Source organism: Homo sapiens, chromosome 7 (assembly GCF_000001405.40).
Source record: "Homo sapiens chromosome 7, GRCh38.p14 Primary Assembly".
NCBI lineage: Eukaryota > Metazoa > Chordata > Mammalia > Primates > Hominidae > Homo > Homo sapiens.
The window spans coordinates 103511482-103534204 of NC_000007.14; the positions used below are offsets into that span (position 1 = coordinate 103511482).

At 39.8% G+C, this 22723-nt stretch overlaps 1 protein-coding gene and 1 long non-coding RNA gene across 3 annotated transcripts in view; one reads left to right on the forward strand and one right to left on the reverse strand.

Moving 5' to 3' along the window:
* The window catches only part of SLC26A5-AS1 (SLC26A5 antisense RNA 1), a 68801-nt gene extending 66275 nt beyond the window's left edge, over window positions 1–2526 (forward strand). The window contains exon 4 of the long non-coding RNA NR_110141.1: window positions 1288–2526. This is a non-coding gene — a long non-coding RNA (SLC26A5 antisense RNA 1). The remainder of the gene's footprint in view (window positions 1–1287) is intronic.
* The window catches only part of RELN (reelin), a 517870-nt gene that overhangs the window by 39693 nt on the left and 455454 nt on the right, over window positions 1–22723 (reverse strand). For both annotated transcript variants that reach the window (NM_173054.3, NM_005045.4), the window contains exons 47-50: window positions 11910–12050; window positions 10541–10718; window positions 7842–8035; window positions 3704–3960 (exon numbers count right to left, since the gene is read on the reverse strand). In NM_173054.3, the coding sequence (NP_774959.1) occupies window positions 3704–3960; window positions 7842–8035; window positions 10541–10718; window positions 11910–12050 (770 nt within the window). The remainder of the gene's footprint in view (window positions 1–3703; window positions 3961–7841; window positions 8036–10540; window positions 10719–11909; window positions 12051–22723) is intronic.

Genomic DNA, 22723 nt, shown 5'->3' on the forward strand with positions numbered 1-22723 from the left:
CTCACATTCTGAAAGTATTATCTGGGTAACTAAAAAGCTTGTAATGAATTTTTTATAGCTTTATCAAGATATAACTGATATACAAAAATGACACACATTTAAAACATACATCTTGGCTGGGTATGGTGGCTCATGCCTGTAATCCCAGCACTTTGAAAGGCTGAAGTGGGAGGATCGCTTGAGGCCAGCCTGGGCAACATAGTGAGATCCTGACTGTTAAAAAAAAAATTAGCTGGAGTGGTGGTGCACGCCCATAGTCTCAGCTACTTAGGAGGCTGCTTGAGTCCAGGAGTTCAGGGCTGCAGTGATTTGTGATTGTGCCACTGCACTCCAGCCTGGGCAGCAGAGTGAGACCCTGTCTCTAAAAAATTTGTTTTAAAAAATGAAATATACATTTGATGACTCTGGAAATATGCACAACCCATGATACTATCACCACAAGCAGGGCACCAAATCGATCCATCACTTCCAAAAATTTCCTTGTATTCTTTTGTGTGTGTGGTTTTTAGTTTTTGTTGGGGGGTTGCTGTTTAGAACACCCAACAAGAGACATATCCTCTTAACATATGTTCAGTGCACAATATAATCCTGTCAACCATAGACACTATGTCATACAGCAGATCTCTAGAACTTATTTCTTTTGCATGACAGAAACTTTATAGCTACTGAAAAAGTATTCATTTCCCCTTTCTCCAGATCCTGGCAACCACCCTATTTAATTAGATAAACAAATGATTTTTGAGTTTAAGAAATGAGTTTATAACAAACTTGTTATAAAGGCTAATTTTAAGTCCTATAATGTGAAGCCATGTTTAATTTGGCCAAAAGTAAAATAAAATCTTATTAAATAGATTATTTAAGAAATTAGGATTCTAAGATAATACTGTTATAAATTTACCTTGGTAATGTTCTTAATATTTGATTATTTATGTATGGATATTCAAGTATTCTGGATAGATATTTCTTTTAATAAGTCTTGACTCCTAAACCTGATTAACAGTTAACACTTTGAGGAAATGTACTCATCAAGATACTACTGAAGAAATAGATTTGAAGGTGTCTAAAGAAAACCTAAGTAGTAAGACTATGAATTGATTAATGCAGAGTACATCTTGTGTGTTGATCCTCTCTCTCTTTCTCTCTTAACCCCTTCCTCCACAACCCTCACAGTTCCTTTTCTCTTCTGGAAGAGATGATTTTACATTAATTTTATCCCAGAAAAGTTAGAAATTAAACATATCCATAATATATGTTGCATCTCATTCACAGTATGCTTTGATTTTATAGGTCCAATTCTTTTCTAAAAGTCTTCTGGCTAGTCCCAGCATTTCCAGGGAAGCTGAACAGGTGCAGCCGGAGGCTTGGAGCCACTATGGAAGCAGCACAGTTGATGCCTCAGAGGATCCAGAGAAAAGACCAGATAACTATAATTCAGCCTTCACCCATATTGTGTCTTTTTGATTTTGTCTGAGTATATATGCCGCACAACAAGCAGCTTATCTCTGAGATTCAAATAGTTACTGCAATTCCATTATCTGTTTTTTTACTGTGAGGGATTTGGAGCCACATTTAGTCCTACATCACAGATACAGGACTCAAGAGTCAAAGTGCACAGAAATTTGAATTCCGATAAGAATACTCTGAGCCAGTTTATTCTGGGGTACATACTTCATTTTATGCTAGAACTCTGCAATCCTGATGAAAGAGGGCTTGCATTGCTCAACTAACTAACTCACCCGTCTCTCCTGCAGTATTAGAAACTACTTCTGTATGTACACGTTACAGTTTCTAGGAACTCCATTTTTGCAAGACAGATAGGAGCCAGAAAATTTGTTCCTTCAACTGTATATCGCTAATTAAACATAAAATCAAATCAGCATTTTAGGTACTTGAATAACTAGTCTGTGCTTACTTTTATTCATATGGAAGCAGTGTTTAAATTATTCTCTGATTGTAAACTCACTTATGTAAACCATTATACAGGAAAAAAATGAGTAATGAAGCAAAGTTCTGAAGCAGATCTATGTAAGCAAATTTCAATAACCTTCTTAAGAGAATATGACACTTAGTAGTGGTGAGGGACATTTTAAGCTTTTTCTATTTACAAGTTTTTTTTAAACGAGGGTGTTTCAAAGTAAATATTTGCTGTTACGTTATGCCACATGATATACTAATAAATGAATTAATGAAATTAACCTAAATATCCAGTATTATTATTGAATATATAGCTACTAAAATTTTATATTCAAATATATCCAAGGACATGAGGAAATAAGGATTTAATTCTAAACAAAAAAAGAAGCTATGAAATATATATAATTTAAGACTATAATTTTGTTAAAAATATGTTTATGTAAATGCGCTAAAAAAAGTTCTTTAAGAATATATGCCAAAATATTGACAATGGTTATCCCCTGAGTGATTTTTATTTTCATCCTTAGGATTTTCTGTATTTTCTGTTTCACATTTTGAACATGTATACTTTTACAAGAAAATATGAACTAAAATTAAAAATTTTTAAACTCCTCAAGTTTCAATTTTTTTTTTCCAGGACATGCTATTCTTCTGGAAGATTCTTATCAGTCTTATTATTGTAAAAATGAACCAGACTGTCTTTTCCATGCAAGTTGCTAGGGGCTGAGCTGGGTGTGACAGAGTTCCACTGTCTGAATCAATACTGGCATAACAGTATATCAATCTTTACTATTTAGATACATGCTAGTATGGGATATATAATGAATATCACTGCTTTATCTGAAGATACCATGTTTCATGTAGTATAACAAATATGTGGCATGGCAAAGATACATACTTAATATAAGACACCACTTTTTATAAAGATGACCAGAATAGTGTCATGAAATGAAAACAAGACATTAAAAATGAGAGGAGGATAGGCCGGGCATGGTGGCTCACGCCTGTAATCTCAGCACACTGGGAGGCCGAGGTGGGCAGATCACCTGAGGTTGGGGGTTCAAGACCAGCCTGGCCAACATGGTGAAACCCCATCTCTACTAAAATTACAAAATTAGCTGGGCATGGTGTCACATGCTTGTAATCCCAGCTACTCTGGAGGCTGAGGCAGGAGAATTGCTTGCACCTGGGAGGCGGAGGTTGCAGTGAGCTGGGATTGTGCCATTGTACTCCAGCCTAGGCAACAAGAATGAAACTGACTTAAAAAAAAGAGAGGAGTACAAAGAGGTCCTTCCTGCTTCACCAATATCATTGAATACCCCTATAGGGAATGAAGGGTAACAAGCAAGACCTGGGACATGACCTAAGACATGAAATGCCATTACAAATGTGTCTGCCCTGTAGCAAAACACAATATTTGTCTTCAGATACTAAAACAAATGACTGGGAAATGTCATTTGTTGGGCAGAAGATTTGGGTAGAAATCTTTGGCTTTCTACCCAAAATAGAAAACAGGAAACACTGAAAATTTTCTAAGAAAAGAAAATCCTGTTAATAAAATTATAGATTGCTATATATAAAAACACACTAGCTGGCTTGAATGAAAGAAAAGATTTAGTTAAAATGCCAACTAGGAAGGCTGAGAGGAACAAAAGGATGACACCCTTTTCAGCGTTTCTACACCACTGGAACATCTGAAAAGGTTCCATATTTTGCTCTTTTGAAAAGACCCAAATCCAAACCACTGCATTTCCACTGGGCTTTTTATTTAGCGCTGTGCATAATTTACCTGAAGTTTTGTCTTCCATAAACATGTCAAAGGCGATCCTCCCGACAGGGCCGGCATCTGCAGGGGAGCGCTCATGCTGGGGTACTGGGGCGCTGCTGAAGGTGTCCAGCATAACGGTCCTTTGGTCAGCAGAGCCTGAGATGAGGACATTGTCAATGGCCCAGTCGTTCTGATCCAGGCCGTCATGTCTTGGCTGCCACCAGCGGAAGCGAGTGGCAATCTCTTTAGCATCAGGAGGGAGAAGGATATTCACAAATCTATAGGAAAATGATGGGGAAGGGTGTGGGGAAGAACCCTTGTCAAATATCTTCTCTGAGTAAAAGATTTACAACCAGCCATAAGATAATGTATGTCACATGGTGGGTGAGGGAAGGACATAAGCTAAAATAATTTTCAAAAACCACGATTAACTGGCTTAATTTTATGAAGTCTCAGTAGTCACTAAATTGGGGGAAATAGAATGTGAACAGATTCAAGTATCCCAGAACTCCCAATTGGTTCTGTCTCTGGGCAGGCTTTAGAGGGACTGCACAGTTTTTTGCATACCTGGTGGGTATCTGTAGGCCTAGAGTATATGCACTTTGGTAGACATAAGCCAATGCTGACTTTTTTCTGTCACCTAGTGCTTGGCTTCTTCTGCTTCCTTCCCTGGCACCTTGTTTTCACTCTGTTTCCATGAGTGCTGGCAAGTGACTTGGGGTATGGACACTGGATTGTGGGAGGACATTTGAGTTCTCAGCCTGAGGGTACCAGGTCCATTATCAGTTGTCTGTGGTGCAGACACTGACTTTGTTTATATGCTTTGTTGAAAATATTTAAAATTGTATATATTCATAGAAAATGTCATGTGAGAACCATGGGCTAGCAAGCCCAGCATGCTATCTATCCCTGTCTCACTCACCAGGGACAGACATGGAAAAATGTGGCTCCATGCTCCAACAGAAAACTGAATTAGCTAGAAATAAGGTCTAAAATGCCCTTTAATCACAATTATACATGAAAACCCAGGAACATATCAACCTCTTGAATTTATATTCATAACTCATAAAATCTGTTGGGGAAGATAATGTCCTTAGATTTACCATCCTCCTCACAAAGTATCTTTTTTTTTTTTTTTTGAGACAGAGATCTCACTCTGTTGCCCACGCTGGAGTACAGTGGTACAATCTCGGCTCACTGCAACCTCCGCCTCCTGGGTGCAAGCAATTCTCCTGCCTCAGCCTCCCGAGTAGCTGGGATTACAGGCGCGCATGCCAACATGCCTGGATAATTTTTGTATTTTTAGTAGAGATAGGGTTTCACCATGTTGGCCAGGTTGGTTTCGAACTCCTGACCTCGGGTGATCCACCCACCTCAGCCTCCCAAAGTGCTGGGATTACAGGCATGAGCCACCATGCCCAGCCAGTATCATCTTATTTTTTTAATCTATGCTAATCTACCTCCCTTTAGAGGCATACCTCAAGGGATGCCTTTTCGTGTTTGCAGAACTCCAAGGCAAGACAACCAGTCCAAGTTCATCCCATGAAGCCCTTTAAACTGAGGGCTTCAGTGACAGTTTTAGTTCTTGTCTTTCACATTAAAGAGATTTCATTATATTAATTTTGTTTATACAGTATCTCCATGTTGATTTTATTTTTCCTTCCTTTTTTTTTTCTGTCTTCCTTGAGGTAGAGTGGCCAGAACAGTAGGTAGTATTCCAGATGGAGGCCAACCAAGATTCACTCACAGGTAGGATGCTTTTAGCTGGATTTATACAACTTGAATTTTAAATACTTTTTTCTATTATGCCATCATTCTGTGCGCCCTTTGGGCCATGATAGCTTAATGGATCTTAGTCTTAGGGAAGAACAGTGTAGTCTAGAAAGTATCAATCTTAGACCCTCACCTGTGCGGGTACTGGCAGCTGGGAGACATCACCCTTTATGCAGAGTCTTTTCCGAAGTCTATTTCCTCATTTATGTCAATTTTGAAGCTCATCTGTCTTCCCTGCACCTTTTTTTTTTTTGGTATGCTTATCTTGTGAGATGTTCCTAACATTTACCTCTATTGGTTTGACATGTTTACATACTATCCGAAATCTGTCAGTTTCTGGGGGACACACAATCGCACTTCTTCACACAGAGCAATGATCTTTTATCTCTATTTTTTCTTTCCTAATTCTAAATTAGTTTTTATTTTCTCTGATAAGTCTTTGACCACATTTTAAAAATCTCTGGAATGGAAATTTACCTAAGGCTACTTGAAAGTCTAAATAAATTATAACCACTTTTCCTACCTCAGTCAATTTGATTCCCCTTCAGAGAACTAAAGTAGATTAGACAGTTATGCTTTTACCCTACAGAAACATAACTCTCTTTTCCTTGCACTAACGTTATGCTGCTTAAGTGTTCAGGAACTCACACTTGAGGTCTTTATAAATTCCTCCATCAAGACCAAGGAAACAGTTTACTTGGCTTGTCTGTTATCTCCTACTAACAGTTGAGCACAGGGTACTCTGTACCACTTAGCTTCTAGTTGGATTCCTTTATTGGTGTCCAACTTTAATGCAAGTGGAAGATTTAAAAGTTTTGCTTGTGGCAAAAACTGCTGGTATTTCCTCAGTGGCCATTCTCCCTTTCTTCCTTCCTAATAGGAGCCTTTTCATCCAAGTGACTGGTCGCCCAGAATAAAGACAGCATGTCCAGCCTTCCTTGCATCTGGGTGTGGCTATGTGGCTAAACTCAATAGCTAATGGAATATGAAAGGAAGTACGTGCAGCTGTTAGGAAATGTCCTTGAAGAGAGAGCACACCCTTCTCGCCCCAATCTCCTTCCTATGGACTGTAAAGTTGGGGAGCTAGTGGCCCTTTTGGACCATGAGATGAAAGTCACATGCTGAGTGGGGCAGAACAATAAGACAGGAGGAACCTGGGTCACTGGTGCTTGCGGAGCCACTACAGTAGTCCTGGAGTACTTTTTTTGGGGATGTAATTTACATAGGAGAGAGAGAAAAATTAAGTAATTTTGTCTTTCCTGCCATTGACAGCTGAACCTATTCTTAACTGATATATTGAATTTAAATGATCATTTATAAGATTCTTTTTATTTTACTCAAATTTTAGCCTGTATCTGGCTTGCATGCATTAAAGGATTATCTACGTTTCCTTTTTTTTTTTTTTTTTTTTTTAAAGATGCGGTCTTACTCTGTCACCCAGGCTAGAGCATAGTGCCACAATCATAGCTTACTGCAGCCTCAAACTCCTGAGCTCAAGCAATCCTCTTGCCTCAGCCTCCTGAGTAGCTGGGACTACAGGCACATGCCACCACACCCAGGTAATTTAAGTTTTTTTTTTTTTTGGTAAAATGTCTTGCTTTGCTGCCCAGGCTGGTCTTGAACTCCTGGCTTCAAGTGATCCTCCTGCCTTGGCTTCCCAAAGTGCTGGGATTACAGGTGTGAGCCACCATGCCCAGCATGTGTTTCCTGTCTGGGCTATATTTATTTCCTCTTCTCTTCAGCCTCCCCCTGGACCCTGCCTTTCTCTCTCTCTCATTCTTTCTGTCTTCTCTTTTCTTACCCTCTTCCTCCTCCTACTTTACTGAATATGCTATTTTCCTTCTTAACAACTCTTTGACATTTCTAATTGGTCATAATCATTGCTTTCGGCCCTTCAGTACTTTTTTTAAAATGACCCATACGTTGTGTTTATTCAAGGTTTTTAAATAAGGAGTTTAAAAATAATCTCTAGGCTTCTTAAGGATATTTACATTTTATTGTGTTTCTTTGCTTTCCAGTCCAAAATTCTCTAAAAACAGAGTGTACACTATATAAATAAATATTTATTTTTCTGTTTCCATTTTCCCAAAGCATTGCTGAAATTAATTATACTAGTTAATTTCTGTGGGTTTTTGCACTGGGTTTATTCACCGTTGGCATTGTGGTAGAATATTTCATCTTATTCTGGGATGTGAAAACTAGTTGTTCTTAAAATAAAAACCCAAACCAGCTATTTATCCAGCTCAGAAACCCTTCTTCATTTCAGTCTCAGAGGCATCCTCTAGTGAGGCATAAGTCTGAGGTCCCCCTCAGTCTCCCGTGACTGATTGCTGGTAGCAATCTCTGCTCGATGTACTCGTTATTAGATATCAAATCGAATACAAACCCGGGCTTACTGTACTGGTCATAGAAAATCTCCATGAGCAGGTTCCAGGTAATGCCTCCATTGACAGAATATTCCAAGAGAACACCTTGGTTACGGTTGTTTGGTGTAATCAGGCACCCATACATGAAGTAAAATTGGATGAACTCAGCATTAGTGAGGTTTAGATCCACAGTGACTAATAATCGACTACAACCCTAAGAAAAAGAAGTAAAATAAAAAAAAGTGATAAGGAATCTCGATTGCAGATTATAGATTTTCTATGGATTTTTTTTTTTTTTGAGACAGGGTCTTGCTCTGTCACCTAGGCTGGAGTGCAGTGGCACCATCACAGCTCACTGCAGCCTTGACCTCCTGGGTTCAAGTGATCCTCCCACCTCAGCCTCCCAAGTGGCTGGGACTACGGGTACATGCCTCCATGTCTAGCTAATTTTTTGTAGAGACAGGGTTTTGTTATGTTGTCCAGGCTGGTCTTAACTCCTGGGCTCAAATGATCTGCCTGCCTCGGCCTCCCAAAGTGCTGGTATTTCCATTCTTTTAATATTTATTTTGTGATACCAGCCACATAGTATTGTGGCACTGATTTTCTTACCCTCTTTCTTACTATGCTAGCTCTTAGTATTTTGCCTAGTACACAGTAGGTACCCAGCACATGTTTGCTGAACTTTGAAATTTCAGCATTCAAGACTTATTTACAGAGAACAATGTATTCCAAGATAATTTTCTGTTTTCTTTTTCCTTTTTTTTAATATGAATGTTTATTTGGGCCAAGGTTGAGTATCGCAGCCCAGGACACATTTCCAAGTTGCCTTGGCTGTTTTTTTTTCATAAGCAAGATGAGAGCTGGAACTAATATAACTGTCCTTTATTTTTATTAAACTATCTCCAGTTATTTTCAGACACTATTAGATTTTTAAAAATGAATCAACCACTAAGAAAATAGCATATTGAGATGACCATTTTATTATGATTATTATTATTTAATTTTTTGAGACAGTCTGGCTGGAGTGCAGTGGTGCAGTCTCGGCTCACTGCAACCTCCATCTCCTGGGTTCAAGTGATTCTCTTGCCTCCGCCTCCCGAGTAGCTGGGACCACAGTTGTGTGCTACCACACCCGGCTAATTTTTGTATTTTTAATGGCGATGGGGTTTCACCATGTTGGCCAGGCTGGTCTTGAACTCCTGACCTCAGGTGATCTGCCCACCTCGGCCTCCCAAAGTGCTGGGATTACAGGCGTGAGCCACCGCGCCTGTAAATAGATGACTATTTTAATATGAAATTTAAAAATAGCTACATCTGGAAATTTTATAATTATACAGATAATCTAATTACTGTAATGTTTTAAATTCACACTTTAGCAGAATTTAATGGCATCTGTATTAATTTCTTAATGTTGATATACGGATTTTTTTTAGTTGAACATATGTGAAAAACTCACTTTTAGTTCTAAGTGAGGAAAAGTATCCTGAACACTGCAGTCTTTCTCAGTGTTGCTGATTATAAAAAGCCTACATGCTATATGCCTTCTTGCTACTCGAGCTAAAATGTTGAATATAAATAATACACTTCATTGGCACAAATGTAAACTCTAAGGTAGGGCATGCTAAGGAAATAAAGAGCTGGCAGTAAATTTGTTATTTTTTTTTTTTTTTTTTTTTTTTTTTTTTGAGACGGAGTCTCGCTCTGTCGCCCAGGCGGGACTGCGGACTGCAGTGGCGCAATCTCGGCTCACTGCAAGCTCCGCTTCCCGGGTTCACGCCATTCTCCTGCCTCAGCCTCCCGAGTAGCTGGGACTACAGGCGCCCGCCACCGCGCCCGGCTAATTTTTTTTTGTATTTTTAGTAGAGACGGGGTTTCACCTTGTTAGCCAGGATGGTCTCGATCTCCTGACCTCATGATCCACCCGCCTCGGCCTCCCAAAGTGCTGGGATTACAGGCGTGAGCCACCGCGCCCGGCCAAATTTGTTATTTTAAAACATTAATTTGTCTATCTAATCATGGTATACAAGAAATTGTATTTTAAACAGAGTCGCCTTTGGCAGAAAAGTAGAGTGACTATAAAATTTCCCAAAGAAAGTTTCCAAGCTTGCTGCTGTCACTCACAAGATAATATGCTACACATACAAATATCTAGTAATTTCTAATAATTATTCTTTCCTGGACAACCTATAAAAATAATTCATTGTTCTTAATAAATTCAGGAACCATCACAGCTCATTTTCCAGATTTTTGGCTCCTTAAATCCAAAATCTGTTGCAAGCTCAGGAGTTGTCAATTAGAAGGGCTCCATGCAGATGGAAGATTGCACAAGTGCTCTTTTCCAAGATGAACATTCACTTACATTCTTTTGTAATATGTACTTAAATATGACCTGTGCTGACACTACCCTGAATAATTAAATAGTCTCAACTGATTTGTGGTAGAAAAATCCTGGGAATGATTAATATTTTCTGATTCCTTAGTATAAAGCATAGCATAAAGTTATACTATATTTATTTTCTAATTACTTGGTATAAAGTATAGTATAAAGTTATCTTTATAGCATAAAGATTTGTATAAAGTTGCAAGTTCAGATCAGGGTTGTACATTTAGGGTAACTAACCCTGCATCTTGATTTGCCCATTAAACTTCAGAAGAGAGTCAACTATTTGGAAGGAACTTAAGAAGAGCAGAAATGAGTAACCAGCAGCCAAACACTCACCCCACTGAAATGGAGAGCCATTCCCGACGCCACGGCTCCACACACTGTACTCAATTTCCCTCCGTTCACAGTCAGCCAGTTCTGACTGGATGGAGCTCGATTGAAGTTGTCTTTGAGTTGGGTTGGAAGAGAGGTCTCGGGGTCATCACAGTACAGGCCACCCCACTGTTCATCACAGCTGGGTGCAGAGCAAGAGAGAGGAAAAGTCAACATCAGACAAAGCCCCTGCAAGCTTGTTCTCAAATTAGTGAAGACTACTCTTTTCCTAGTCCAAGATGATGAAAAGTTACTGATTTTCAGAGAGCTTGCCAGAATACACCTGCTCTCCTTAACTGTACTTTAGGTTACAAATAATCTATGAATTAACTAACTCTAACATTTCCTAAGGTAGTGATTCAGGGTTATAGGTGGAGAGAAAGAAGCAACTTCAAAGAATCTACTAAAGGCCCATCTCATATCACACAGCTCTGAAGGGCTGATAAACAATGGGAGCTGCCAAAGTAAACTGGTGGGTCCTAATAATTTACAAAATTAGTCTTTTTAACAGAGGCTTTGAGCCACTTAGGAATCCAAGGGGCCATGGTGCTAACAGCAGAAGATACTTTGGGCAATAACTGTCACTTCTTACCAAAAGACTGACTTCCCTGTTTAGGGTGGAAGGGCATATGAATATAGGACTGGGAAGCTCAGGGATCTCAAGGGTCGTCCTGGGTATGGGCTAAAATCATTAGCCAAAAAAAGACTTCCCAGGTGTATGGGGAAAGCATCTTCATTCATACTTCCCCATTAAACAGCATAATCTCACACAGACACACAGACACACACACACACCCCCACACCTTCATTTAAATTATTCCAAGTATACTGAGGTTCTCTAAGAGTAATACAATAGGCCTGTGCATCAAATACCTCTGGTAAATTGACCAGACATCTACATACTTTCTTAGGCAAACAACATAGCAATATAAATTAAACAATGACAAGTGCATATCCTTACATATATTCAGACCTAAGTGAGAAAAATACTCATGATGTATTAGTTTTGGTCAGAACTTACTGAACTCCTGAACCTTTTCTAATGTTATTTTCAAGGCTCGAGTGTATCACAGAAACACAGAAGGAAATAAAATATAGTTAATTATAATTCATCTGTCTCCTGACAAGATAGCTATTGTTCAGTTCCTAATCTCTAAGCAAGAATGAAGATACAGTATCCATCAACTTCACAGTTAGCTCAAGATCATATTTCAGAAAAAAATGTATAACTTAAGGAAGCATGGGAGTGATTCAAAAACCAGTTACAGAAAAATCTCCTAGATGGAATGTGAATCAGGAGCTTTCAACAGAAGGAAGAAAAAAACCGACTTACACGCAGTTTCCCTGGATGCATCTCCCATGGCCACTGCACATGTCTATGCAGCCATCCCCGATATAGACATTATCTATTGCCCATGTCTGCTGCTTGTCAAAAGGAGCTGGTTGATGCCAACGGAAACGAGTGGCTTGGGACCTTTGAAGAAGATGAGAATTTTAATGAAGGATGCTGTGGAAAAGAAAATGTGTTCCAGTATGTTTGAACAAGTGCATGGAGAAGTGTAACACAAAAGCATGTACATTCCTACTTCTTTTCTGAAAAGAACATTCATTATTACAATATTCTTCTTTTCTTTTTTTGAGATGGAGTCTTGCTCTGTCACCCGGGCTGGAACGCAGTGGCACCATCTCAGCTCACTGCAGCCTCCACTTCCTGGGTTCAAGCAATTCTGATGTCTCAGCCTCCCGAGTAGCTGGGATTATAGGCATGCACTACAACACCCAGTTAATTTTTGTATTTTAGGGGAGACAGAGTTTCACCATGTTGGCCAGGCTGGTCTTGAACTCCTGACCTAAAGTGATCCTCCCACCTCAGCCTCCCAAAGTGCGGGGATTACAGGCATGAGCCACTGTGCCTGGCTGGCCATTATTACAATATTCTACAGAAAACATTGTTTATAGTCAAACCAAACCAACCAAACTGTGATAGTTTGATCATACAATTTGGCCAAGTGATCTTCCTGAGCCTTGTAAAAAACAGACAGTCAGAAACAAAAACGAATCCTAAAACTGGAAGCCTCAGGGGAGCTGTGAGCCTTGGATTTCGTGTGGGAAGTACCATGGAATGACACCAGAGCTGCTGCTAACTTGTAAGTGCAAAATCAGAAAAGATGACTATCTCCGAGCAGCCGCAAGCCCTCTGCATTTGGCTTGGGAACAGAACATGGGCTGGATTTCAGCTTCCCACTTGCTCCCTAATTGGACAGAGAAAATTGTACAGAGAAAAAAAAGAGAGAGCATAATAAATGAGACCAGACTTATTTTACATTGATATAAAAGCGATATAAGTAAAGCTAAAACAGAGGTTCTCCCATTCCAGAAGCAGAAATATATTTGCTCATTCACGGAGTTCTGGAGAGTGTCTTGCTCAAAAATACAACACACGTGTTTTCAGAGGCACTAGATGGCAGTAAAATCCAAGCAATGCCTGAGGCTCAAGTGCATTGAACATGAAAAGACTTTTAGAGGAAACCATTTGTGTTTATTGATCCATATATGTTCTGTCATTAAGAGACCGTTAATCATTTGACTCAGGAATATCTGTTTAAGGCAGGACAAAAGACCAAACAACAGGAAGGAGTTTGCATTTTCCAAATGAAAATATTTCTATAAAGTTTAGAAAATGGAGAAGAAACAGACTAGAACTAAAATCTTCACCTGAAATGAAGAGGTCAGTCCAATACATGTCTGTTGAGCGTCTATGTACAAACTGGTTTCTCCATAATTTTGCTTGCTCCCCAGCTTTGGCATGTTCCCCCAGCAGAGTGATCTCTGCCTAATAAACTCCTGTCACTTTCTACTGCATTTTACCGAAACCCCTAGTCCCCTCCTTGGCCCACAAGGTCCTGCCTGATATCCGCCTGAACCTGGGCCTCTGCTTCCCTCCCTCATCATGGTCACTCGCCTCTGGAGCACTGTTTCTCCCCTCAGGCGCCAAAGCACACCAAACTCATTCCCACCTTTCTGCCTACATATTCTCTTTCTCTGTCTCTGTCTCTCTCTCTTCCTCTCCCTCCCTTCCTCTCTCTCTTTCTGCCTGGTTAACCTCTGTGTGTCCTTCAGGTCTCAGAGGAAATGTCAGGTCCTCACAGAGAAATTTTCTTCCTGATCCCTTTTAAAATGATGTTTCTTCCATGCTATTCTCTCTCATAGCAAACTATTGTTTTCCTCTTATAGTATTTGTCACAGTTATAGTTATACATTTATTTGCATACATATTTGATACATGTCTGTCTCTTCCTTGAATGGTAAGTTATAAGGAGAGCAGGGTTGATTCCTTTTTGTTCAACATCGTAGACTTCATGGACAGCACCTAGAGCTTAGTGGGTGTTCTAAACGTCCAGGAAGTTCGTATCCAGGGGCTTCCATTCTCACAGTAAGCAATGTGGAAATGCACTCACCCCTGTAAGCTGTGTAACTCAGCGGTTTTGCTGATAAATTATTTTTAATGACTAAATTTATCTAAATTTATTTACAGTTATGTCTGTTTATCTGCAGCAACAACTTATAATTAACATAGCGGAATACCATATTTCCATAGCACATAATTACTCGGAGCCAACATTTATATATTCATTCTGTTTTTTTTTTTTTTAGACTATAAGCTTCTGAAGGGCAGAGAATATCTCTGTATCCCTTAGGGAATATTGGTTTGTATCCTCAGTGCTTATAGATAGTAGGTAAGTAATAAACTTTCTTGGTTCCCCTAATATCTTACACATACTTCACCAAAGCCCTCGTCACCTTGTATTAAAAGTGCCTATTCATATGTAATTTCCTGTTATTTTCCTTATTTATCATTTTATTGTTGCTGGCACCTACAGATGGAGCTTCATAAACATTTGCTGAAACACTATTAAGTTGGTAGCAATAAAGATGCCCAGGAAGATCAAAACACCCTACAAGAGATGTCCTGTAGGGTAGATGGGCAGGGCCTGGTGTCAGCTGTGGAGGGGTGGTAATCTGATGGCTGTTGAAGGGGGCAGACAGCTTCCTGGCAGCCGAGAGGTGGCATGGGTTGCCTAGCAGGTGGTTGCTTTCTGAGCATTGGCTGTGTTTAATCACAATGTGGGCAACCACTTAGAGAAACTGTATGGAAGATTTAAGAGCCAGATGCATTGTTGGAGTTGACAGCATTTATGGGGACTTCCAATGCTGACATTTTCAATTTGTGCAACTCTCTGGCATTTCAAAGAAGAGGAAACAGTAAGAAACTACATGAAAAATGTACTAACATGGGAGTTGGCCCCTCAGGAGCAAAGATAAGTGAGGGCTTTCATTTGTACTCTGGCACTAGTAGGTTCTATGTCCACGGTGAGTAACTAAACATGTATAATAAGGGAGTTAAATGAGATGATTTTTAAGGCCCCTTCTTAGATGTGATGATTTCATATTCTTAGGAATAACTACACCTAGTAATTATGTACCCATCAAACAAGGATACACATACTATCCAATATTAATTTGTAAGAAGAGGAAACATTTTCACTAAGAACTGGAATATAAGTTAAAAATGAGAGTTTGGAAGTTGAATTGCCAGGACTTCTTATTCCCAGCCCTGTCAGAGCTCCACTGTGTGAAGGGGCTACATCACTTATGTTTATGTGCTGATGCTTCCCTGTCAGTAAACCAGGAAGATGCTACTTTCCGCCTCACAAGGGTGTTGTGAAAATTAATTAGTTCTTGTTTACCAAGAACTACGAGTGTCTTGGTGGAGTTCCTCGGCAGGTGTTATCATTTATCTTTATAATGATGGCCACCATCAGCTGCTACTTCCCGGAGTTGGGGGAAAAATGGTCCCAGAGAAGATTTCTCATTTTTCCATATCCTTGAACTCTCTCCTCTTGGTTCTTTTGTGGAGTTATACCATTTCTTTCCCATCTACAGTATGTAGTAAGTGTTACATCAGTTTTGTTTAATAGATATCCATTGCTAAGTAGTTAAAATATTACTGTTAATAGTACGGTTCCCCTCACTGGTCTCCCAGGTATCTCTCCCTACACTACCTCCGCACCTTTTAACAGATTTCACTACACATTACAGAGTCTTCATTTTTGCTCTTTTCTTCAGAATGACTCTATCTACCTATGAAGTCCTCACTGTCGTCATCATCGTGAGAAAAAGCCCTTTGAAAGGAACATAATATTTTAAACCTCTTCATCCTTCCCTGAAATATCTTTTACTTCGAAAGAGATACATAAAATATTTAAGCCTAGAAAATCTAGCCTAACAATGCCATTCTACCGAAGACGACGATGACGCCCAGTGACCTAAGTCTCACACTGATTCACTAACAAAACTGAGACAAGGCAAGGATCTCTTGGTTCATGATTACTTTGTATTCTCATTAAGCAAACCTTTCAAAACTCCACTGCAACCTCCACAAAATCTTCCTACCCTTATCATTACCTGTAAATATGAACAGTTGTTAAGCTATGGGAGGCTGTATGTGTTGCAGCTATATGTGTCTTGACTTCTGTGTCAGCTTCAGAGCTGAAGCCCCTGGCCCTCTGTGTTTGAGCAACAGACTCTGTGATGTCAGCCCATTTCAAAATGTGTGTCTATTTGCCTTGCAAGCCAAGACCCTTCCTTTATGTTTTGCATAAAATTTCCTCCACTAGCCTATTTCTTTGTATTAACCTATCTTCTTTGACAAAGTTGGAGAATATTCCAAAGAAGATATATAAATGGCCAATAAGCACAGGATAAGAAGCCCAACATCATCAGCCTTTAGGGAAATGTCAATGAGAACCACAATGAGATACAACCTCACACCCATGAAGATGGCAACAGTCAAAAAGACAATAACAAGTGCTGGTAAGGATATGGGGAAATTAGAATCCTCTACATTGCTGGTGGGAATGTAAAAGAGTACAGCTGTTGTGGGTAAAAGGTTGTCAGTTTCTCAAAATGTTGAACATAATTACCAGGAATTCCAGTCCTAGGTATATAGCCAAGAAAAGTGAAAACATACATCCACATAAAACTTGCACAGGAATGTCCACCACAGCATAAAAGGTGGAAGGAACCCAAGAACCTATCAAACGATGAACAGATAAATAAAATGTGGTATATCCATAAAATGGAATATTAATCAGCTGTAAGGCGGAATGAGGAGCTGATACATTCCACAATATATCACACTACACTTTGATGCTAAGTGAAGGAAGCCAATTGTAAAACAAACACACATTGTATAATTCCATTTCTATGAACTGTCCAGAACAGGCAAATACAGAACATAGCTTAGTGGTTACCTAGGGCTGGGGTGAGGGGTGGGGAGTGACTGCTAATAAGTATAGGATTTCTTTTAGTGGGGACAAAATATTCTAAAATTACACTGTGGTGATGGTTTCAACAACCCTGTGGGTTTTTTTTTTTATTTAGTAATGACTAAAAAACATTGAATTGTACACTTTATTTTTTTGAGACAGGGTCTCATCTTGCTCTGTCATGCAGGCTGCAGTGCAATGGCATGATCTCAGCTCACTGCAATCTCTGCCTCCCAGGTTCAAGCGATCCTTATGCCTCAGCCTCCCAAGTAACTGGGATTACAGGCATGCACCACCGCGCCCGGCTAATTTTTGTATTTTTAGTAGAGACGGGGTTTCACCATGTTGGCCAGGCTGGTCTTGAACTCATGACTTGAGGTGATTCGCCTGCCTCGACCTCCCAAAGTGTTGAGATTACAGACATGAGCCACTGCACCCAGCCAATAAGCTTTTTTAAAGTAAAGAATATAGCCAGGCATGGTGGCTCACGCCTGTAATCCCAGCACTTTGGGAGGCCGAGGCGGGTGGATCACGAGGTCCAGAGATCAAGACCATCCTGGCCAACATGGTGAAACCCCGTCTCTACTAAAAATACAAAAATTAGCTGGGCATCATAGTGTGCGCCTGTAGTCCCAACTACTGGGGAGGCTGAGGCAGGAGAATCGCTTGAACCTGGGAGGCGGAGGTTGCAGTGAGCCGAGATCACACCACTGCACTCTAGCCTGACAACAGAGTGAGACTCCATCTCAAAAAAAAAAAAAGTCCTCTCTAAATTTGTTTACCTGAAAGTGTTATAGCCTCCCATCCCCATCTCTTTCCCCCATTCCTTTCACAATGTTGCCATTATTTGTGCACAGCACCTTTCCTTAGAACTTCCTGCAGACATTAAGTAGCTTCCACGGTGTGGCTAAAACCACCTGGGTTTCCAAAGTGTAGATAATCTTTAAAGAAGGTGGTATCAGTTAGGTCATTAGGGCTAGTAGAAGGGAATAGATAATCTTCAAACTGTGACTTAAAATAGCCAAGTCACACTTGAGCCTTTCAGTGGCCACTCCCCTCCTCCCTTTCTCGGTGGATTTGGGTTACCTGCCCTTCCACTGACTCACCCTGGGTCTAAGGTGATATTCAAGAACCCATGCTATTTGAGCCACCTCTTACTTTTAGGTCTGGGGTTAGTAAGGTGGAGGAGGCAGATTCAGAGTAGGGGCTATGAAACTGATGTTGGCATCTTCCTCTCTTCCTTTTCAGTCTCTCTCAATAACTCCTGACATTCCTGCCTTCCTATTTCTCCTCAGACCATCTCTCTTAGGCAAGCAATAAAGAGGCAGTACTAATACAGTGGTTAAGCTCATGGGCTCTGGTGCCAGACAAACTGTATTTATTTCCAGTATCTTACTGAAACCGTTCGTTCGAAGGTCACTCATTCTCTCAAATTGAAAAATCCAGTAAAGTTTTTTGTGAAACTTTTAAATTTATTACTCTCTATAGTTTATGTCATTGAAGGCCATCTCTTCCTGCTTGTTAATCTCCTCTCATCTGGCTTCTGGATACCATGTTATTCTGAATCTTCTCTCTGCCTGAATCCTCTCAGTCCCCTTGCTGGCCATTTCTGCTCCTTCTGCTATTAAATTTAGGAGTCCTCTCTCTCCCTCTCTTTTTAAACACTCTCTTATGGAGGCAGGTGCAGTTTTACAGCATTGCCTATTACTCTATGTTCATGCCTCTGAAGTTCATTATCTTCTCTTGGTCTCAGATCTTCATGTCTCTGTCAAATGGACATTTCCATTTGTACCTCCAGCCATCACATGTAATCCAGCATCATTTGACTAAATTTGCCATATTGTCCCTCCTGGAATCAACTTTAGCTTGCTCCCCGCATCTTCTCACTATTTTACTAGGCTTCAAACTCTGGAGTCATCTCTTGATGTATGTAACGGAGAAGGAGAAATTAGTGACTGGGTTTTAATCAATTCTTTCTTTGAAATGCTCTGTCATATCTGCCTCATTCCCTCAGCTGTAGCCCAGACTTGTTATTTCACTTAGAAGTTATTGTCACAACACCTTTGCACCCTCCTCTTATGTGAATCTGTCTGTTGTCCTGATTTTTCTCTTGGAAGAATATTCTCAGCTCAAAACCCACCACAGTTCATTTTGCCTACAAATCTAAACTCCTTTGCCTTGCTTCAATGCTTGCTATAAGTTAACCCAACTCTGTGAATCAGCATCTTGTCATAGCTTCCAGATATGAGCCCTCTGCTTGAATCGGCAACTCATGTGCTTCCCCTAGGCCCATACCTATGTGTCCTTGCACTGTCCACATTGTTCCCCTGATTTAGTGTTCTTTCATTTACCCACCTAATTCCTAGCCATCCTTCAAGGCCAGGGCCCATCTCTTCCATGAAACACTAGAATTCTGGCTTTCACTATCATCTCCCATTTCTTGATACTGCAGCATTTCTAGCCCATTCCTCAATGAAGCACTAAATTATATAGAGCAGGTATTATTTTTCAGTGGTTTCTTGGGTATATGTCTAATTTTCCTTAAATAGATTGTAACCTCCTCCAGTGCAAGAATTTAAGACAGTGCCCTAGCCATTATCATGGGCTCACTCTCATTCAAGATTAAGCTGTGACTTAGGAAAACTTCTTAGTCTGAGGTTGAAGTCTGATAATAAACCTGTGTTATGGTTAACAAGTGTGATTATGTGGTTAACTCATAAAAGTAGAAATAATTTTCATTTTTAGTAAATCTTGACAATGTTCTCAACACTTCCATGCACATTTATGAGATTTTCATATGGTGAAAAGGATCTCCATTTTTCAGATGAAGAGACTGAAGTTTAGAAACACAAAATAACTTGCTTAAAAGCTCATAGGGGTGAAAAGGCAGAGCCCTCCACTCTACTACAATGCTTTTTGTTCATTTATTTATAAATCATCTTCTTTCAGGAAGATCTAACTTAACTAATGTGTATGGCAAGGAATAGAAACTATGAATCTATCTACTCCAATTATTTATGTTTTAACATAGCAATGTCTGGAGCAGAGCGTGATGTAGTCTGGAGCAGAGTGTGATGTATCTCGTGTTTAGTTTCAGTGTTCCCTTCCTAGTTAGGAGCACCAGCATCCGTTCAGTTTTGCAACTCAAAGACCAGGGAGTCATCTTCAGCCCTGCTCTTCTCAAGCTCCCACGTCAATTTCATGACCCAGCTTGGTCAGTTTCATTGCCTCCCATGTCTCTTGACTTTCTCCACTTCTCCTCATGTCTACTGCCTGTACCATCGGCATTTCTTATTCTTCAAGAGCCTCTTTACATCTACTCTTATCCTCTCCTATTTGTTTTCTGGTTAGAATGGGCTTTTCTGTGGCTATTACAAAAGTAAAAAAAACAAAACAAAACAAAAACCCAACAGATGCTGGCGAAGTTGTGGAGAAAAAGGAATGCGTTTACCCTGTTGGTGGGAGTGTAAATTAGTTCAACCATTGTGGAAGACAGTGTGGCATTTCCTCAAAGACCTAGAGGCAGAAACGGCATTCGACCCAGCAATCCCATTACTGGGTATATACCCAAAGGAACATAAATCTTTCTATTATTGATACACACATATGTTCACTGCAGCAGTATTCACAATAACAAAGACATGGAATCAACCTAATAGCCCATCAATGATAGACTGGATAAAGAAAATGTGGTACATATACACCATGGAATACTATGCAGCCATAAAAAGGAATGAGAATCATGTCCTTTGCAGGGATGTGGATGGAGCTGGAAGCCATTATCCTCAGCAAACTAATGCAGGAACAGAAAACCAAATACCATATGTTCTCACTTATAAGTGGGAGCTGAACAATGAGAACACATGGACACACAAGGGGGGAACAACACACACTGGGGCTTGTTGGAAAGTGGGGAGTGGGAGGAGGGAAAGCATCAGGAAGAATAGCTAATGGATGCTGGGCTTAGTACCTAAGTGACTGGATGACCTGTGCAGCAAACCACCACGGCACATGTTTACCTATGTAACAAACCTACACATCCTGCACATGGAACCCTGAACTTAAAAGCTGGAAATGAAAAAAAAAAGAAGAAGCTTTTCTGAATGCAAATCTGTTCATGTCTCCCTATTGCCAAACACTTTAACAGGCTTTTAAGTGTTCCTATAATGAACCTCCAAATCTTTAATACAACCTACAATGCTCTTCATGGTCTGACACCATCTCATACCTCACCTTGCTCCTCTCTCTATCTGATCCATATATTCAGCATCTCAAATACACCTGTCCCCTCCTACAATTGGCTGCTATCCTTGCTTGGAACACTCCTACCCTTACACTTTACCTGGTTAACTTGTATTCAACCTTCATATCTTACCTCAATTATCCTTTTTTCAAGAAAGCATTCCTTGGCCTTCTTGACCAGGTCACATCACCCTACGATACAGAAACTTAGAGCATCATGTACCTGTTCTCCATCACTTATCACAGTTGAATTTTATATTTACTCCTGTGATTATTGGTGATTTCTGGCCAATACTCCTCTCCTACCAAATTAAAAGCTCCTTGAGTCAGGGATCAGTTCAGCTCCCTCATAGGCCTAGCACATAATTAAGCAGTTAAAAATATTTGTTTAATGAGTGACTGAATGAATAATTGCTACTGATGACTAGTGACCATTTTAGTTTGGTGAATGGTTTGACGTCAATTTGTGACCAGCCAACCTCAGCTGACACTCACTAGTACTGTGCCAACAATACTGGGATCCTAGCCTTATGGTCATGTGTTGAGTAGACAAGGCTGCAGTTGTGACATGGTCACAGTCATTCCTAACCCTTACTGAGCACATGTCTTTAAGTTGTCAGCATCACGTTTCTTTATAGCGAAGAGCTACAAACTGAAATCCTCAATTCTGGCCTGCTTAATAAACATTGACATTTCAATACGTTTCCAGATAACAGAGACAGCGATTTTAATTTAAAACAAGGAAACACCATATTTACCAAGTAACTGAATATAAATGTAGATGTAGTGTAGATATGTTTACTCATGTTCGAAACAAGTAACTCTGAGACTGGCATATTGTTCTAATGATCTTTGGCATATGGCAGAGAAGTGACTCTGGCTTGGGCTCCCTCCATGCACATTTCTTTCTGAATTACCCAAAGGGCCTTGTTACAAGGCAGTGTCACCTTTAAGACAATTGTACATGAGCCTTGAGGGTAATATAATAAACAAACTGCTTATTTTCAGTACAGAACAGGGGGAAATGGATGCTCATCAGATTTTTCAAATAACATTTGAAAGGGTCAAAATTCTTGTGGGTATGTACAAGAGACAATTAAAAGATAGATTAAAAGATGAGAAATAATTACTTTTCTTGAGTAAAAGACTCAAGGGCATAATGACTAGCTGGAGTAAATCTTAGAATGTCGCTTATTTGCAAAATGTGACTGAGTAGCTGGGTAATAATTCATAGAATTCATAAAGACTTAAAAGACTGTTGCCTTAATGGAGTTTTTTTTTCTATTTTACTTATTAAGATCGCTTTAATAATTCATGCATGGCAACACCTTTAATGAGCAACAAAATCTCACGTATCTCATTTAAACTTGGCAACTCTGCTGACAGTTAATATAGTCTCGTACCTCTGAGCCAGCAATTGTAAAGCAGCCCTAGGCTGTTACTAACTGAAACCATCCCATTTATGATAATCCTAAGAAAAGTTATGCCCTAGATGAATGGTTGAATTTTATGGTCATTTGCTAGGAAAATTTATTCATTCTTCATTTGTGGGAAGATGACAAAACAATAATAAGCC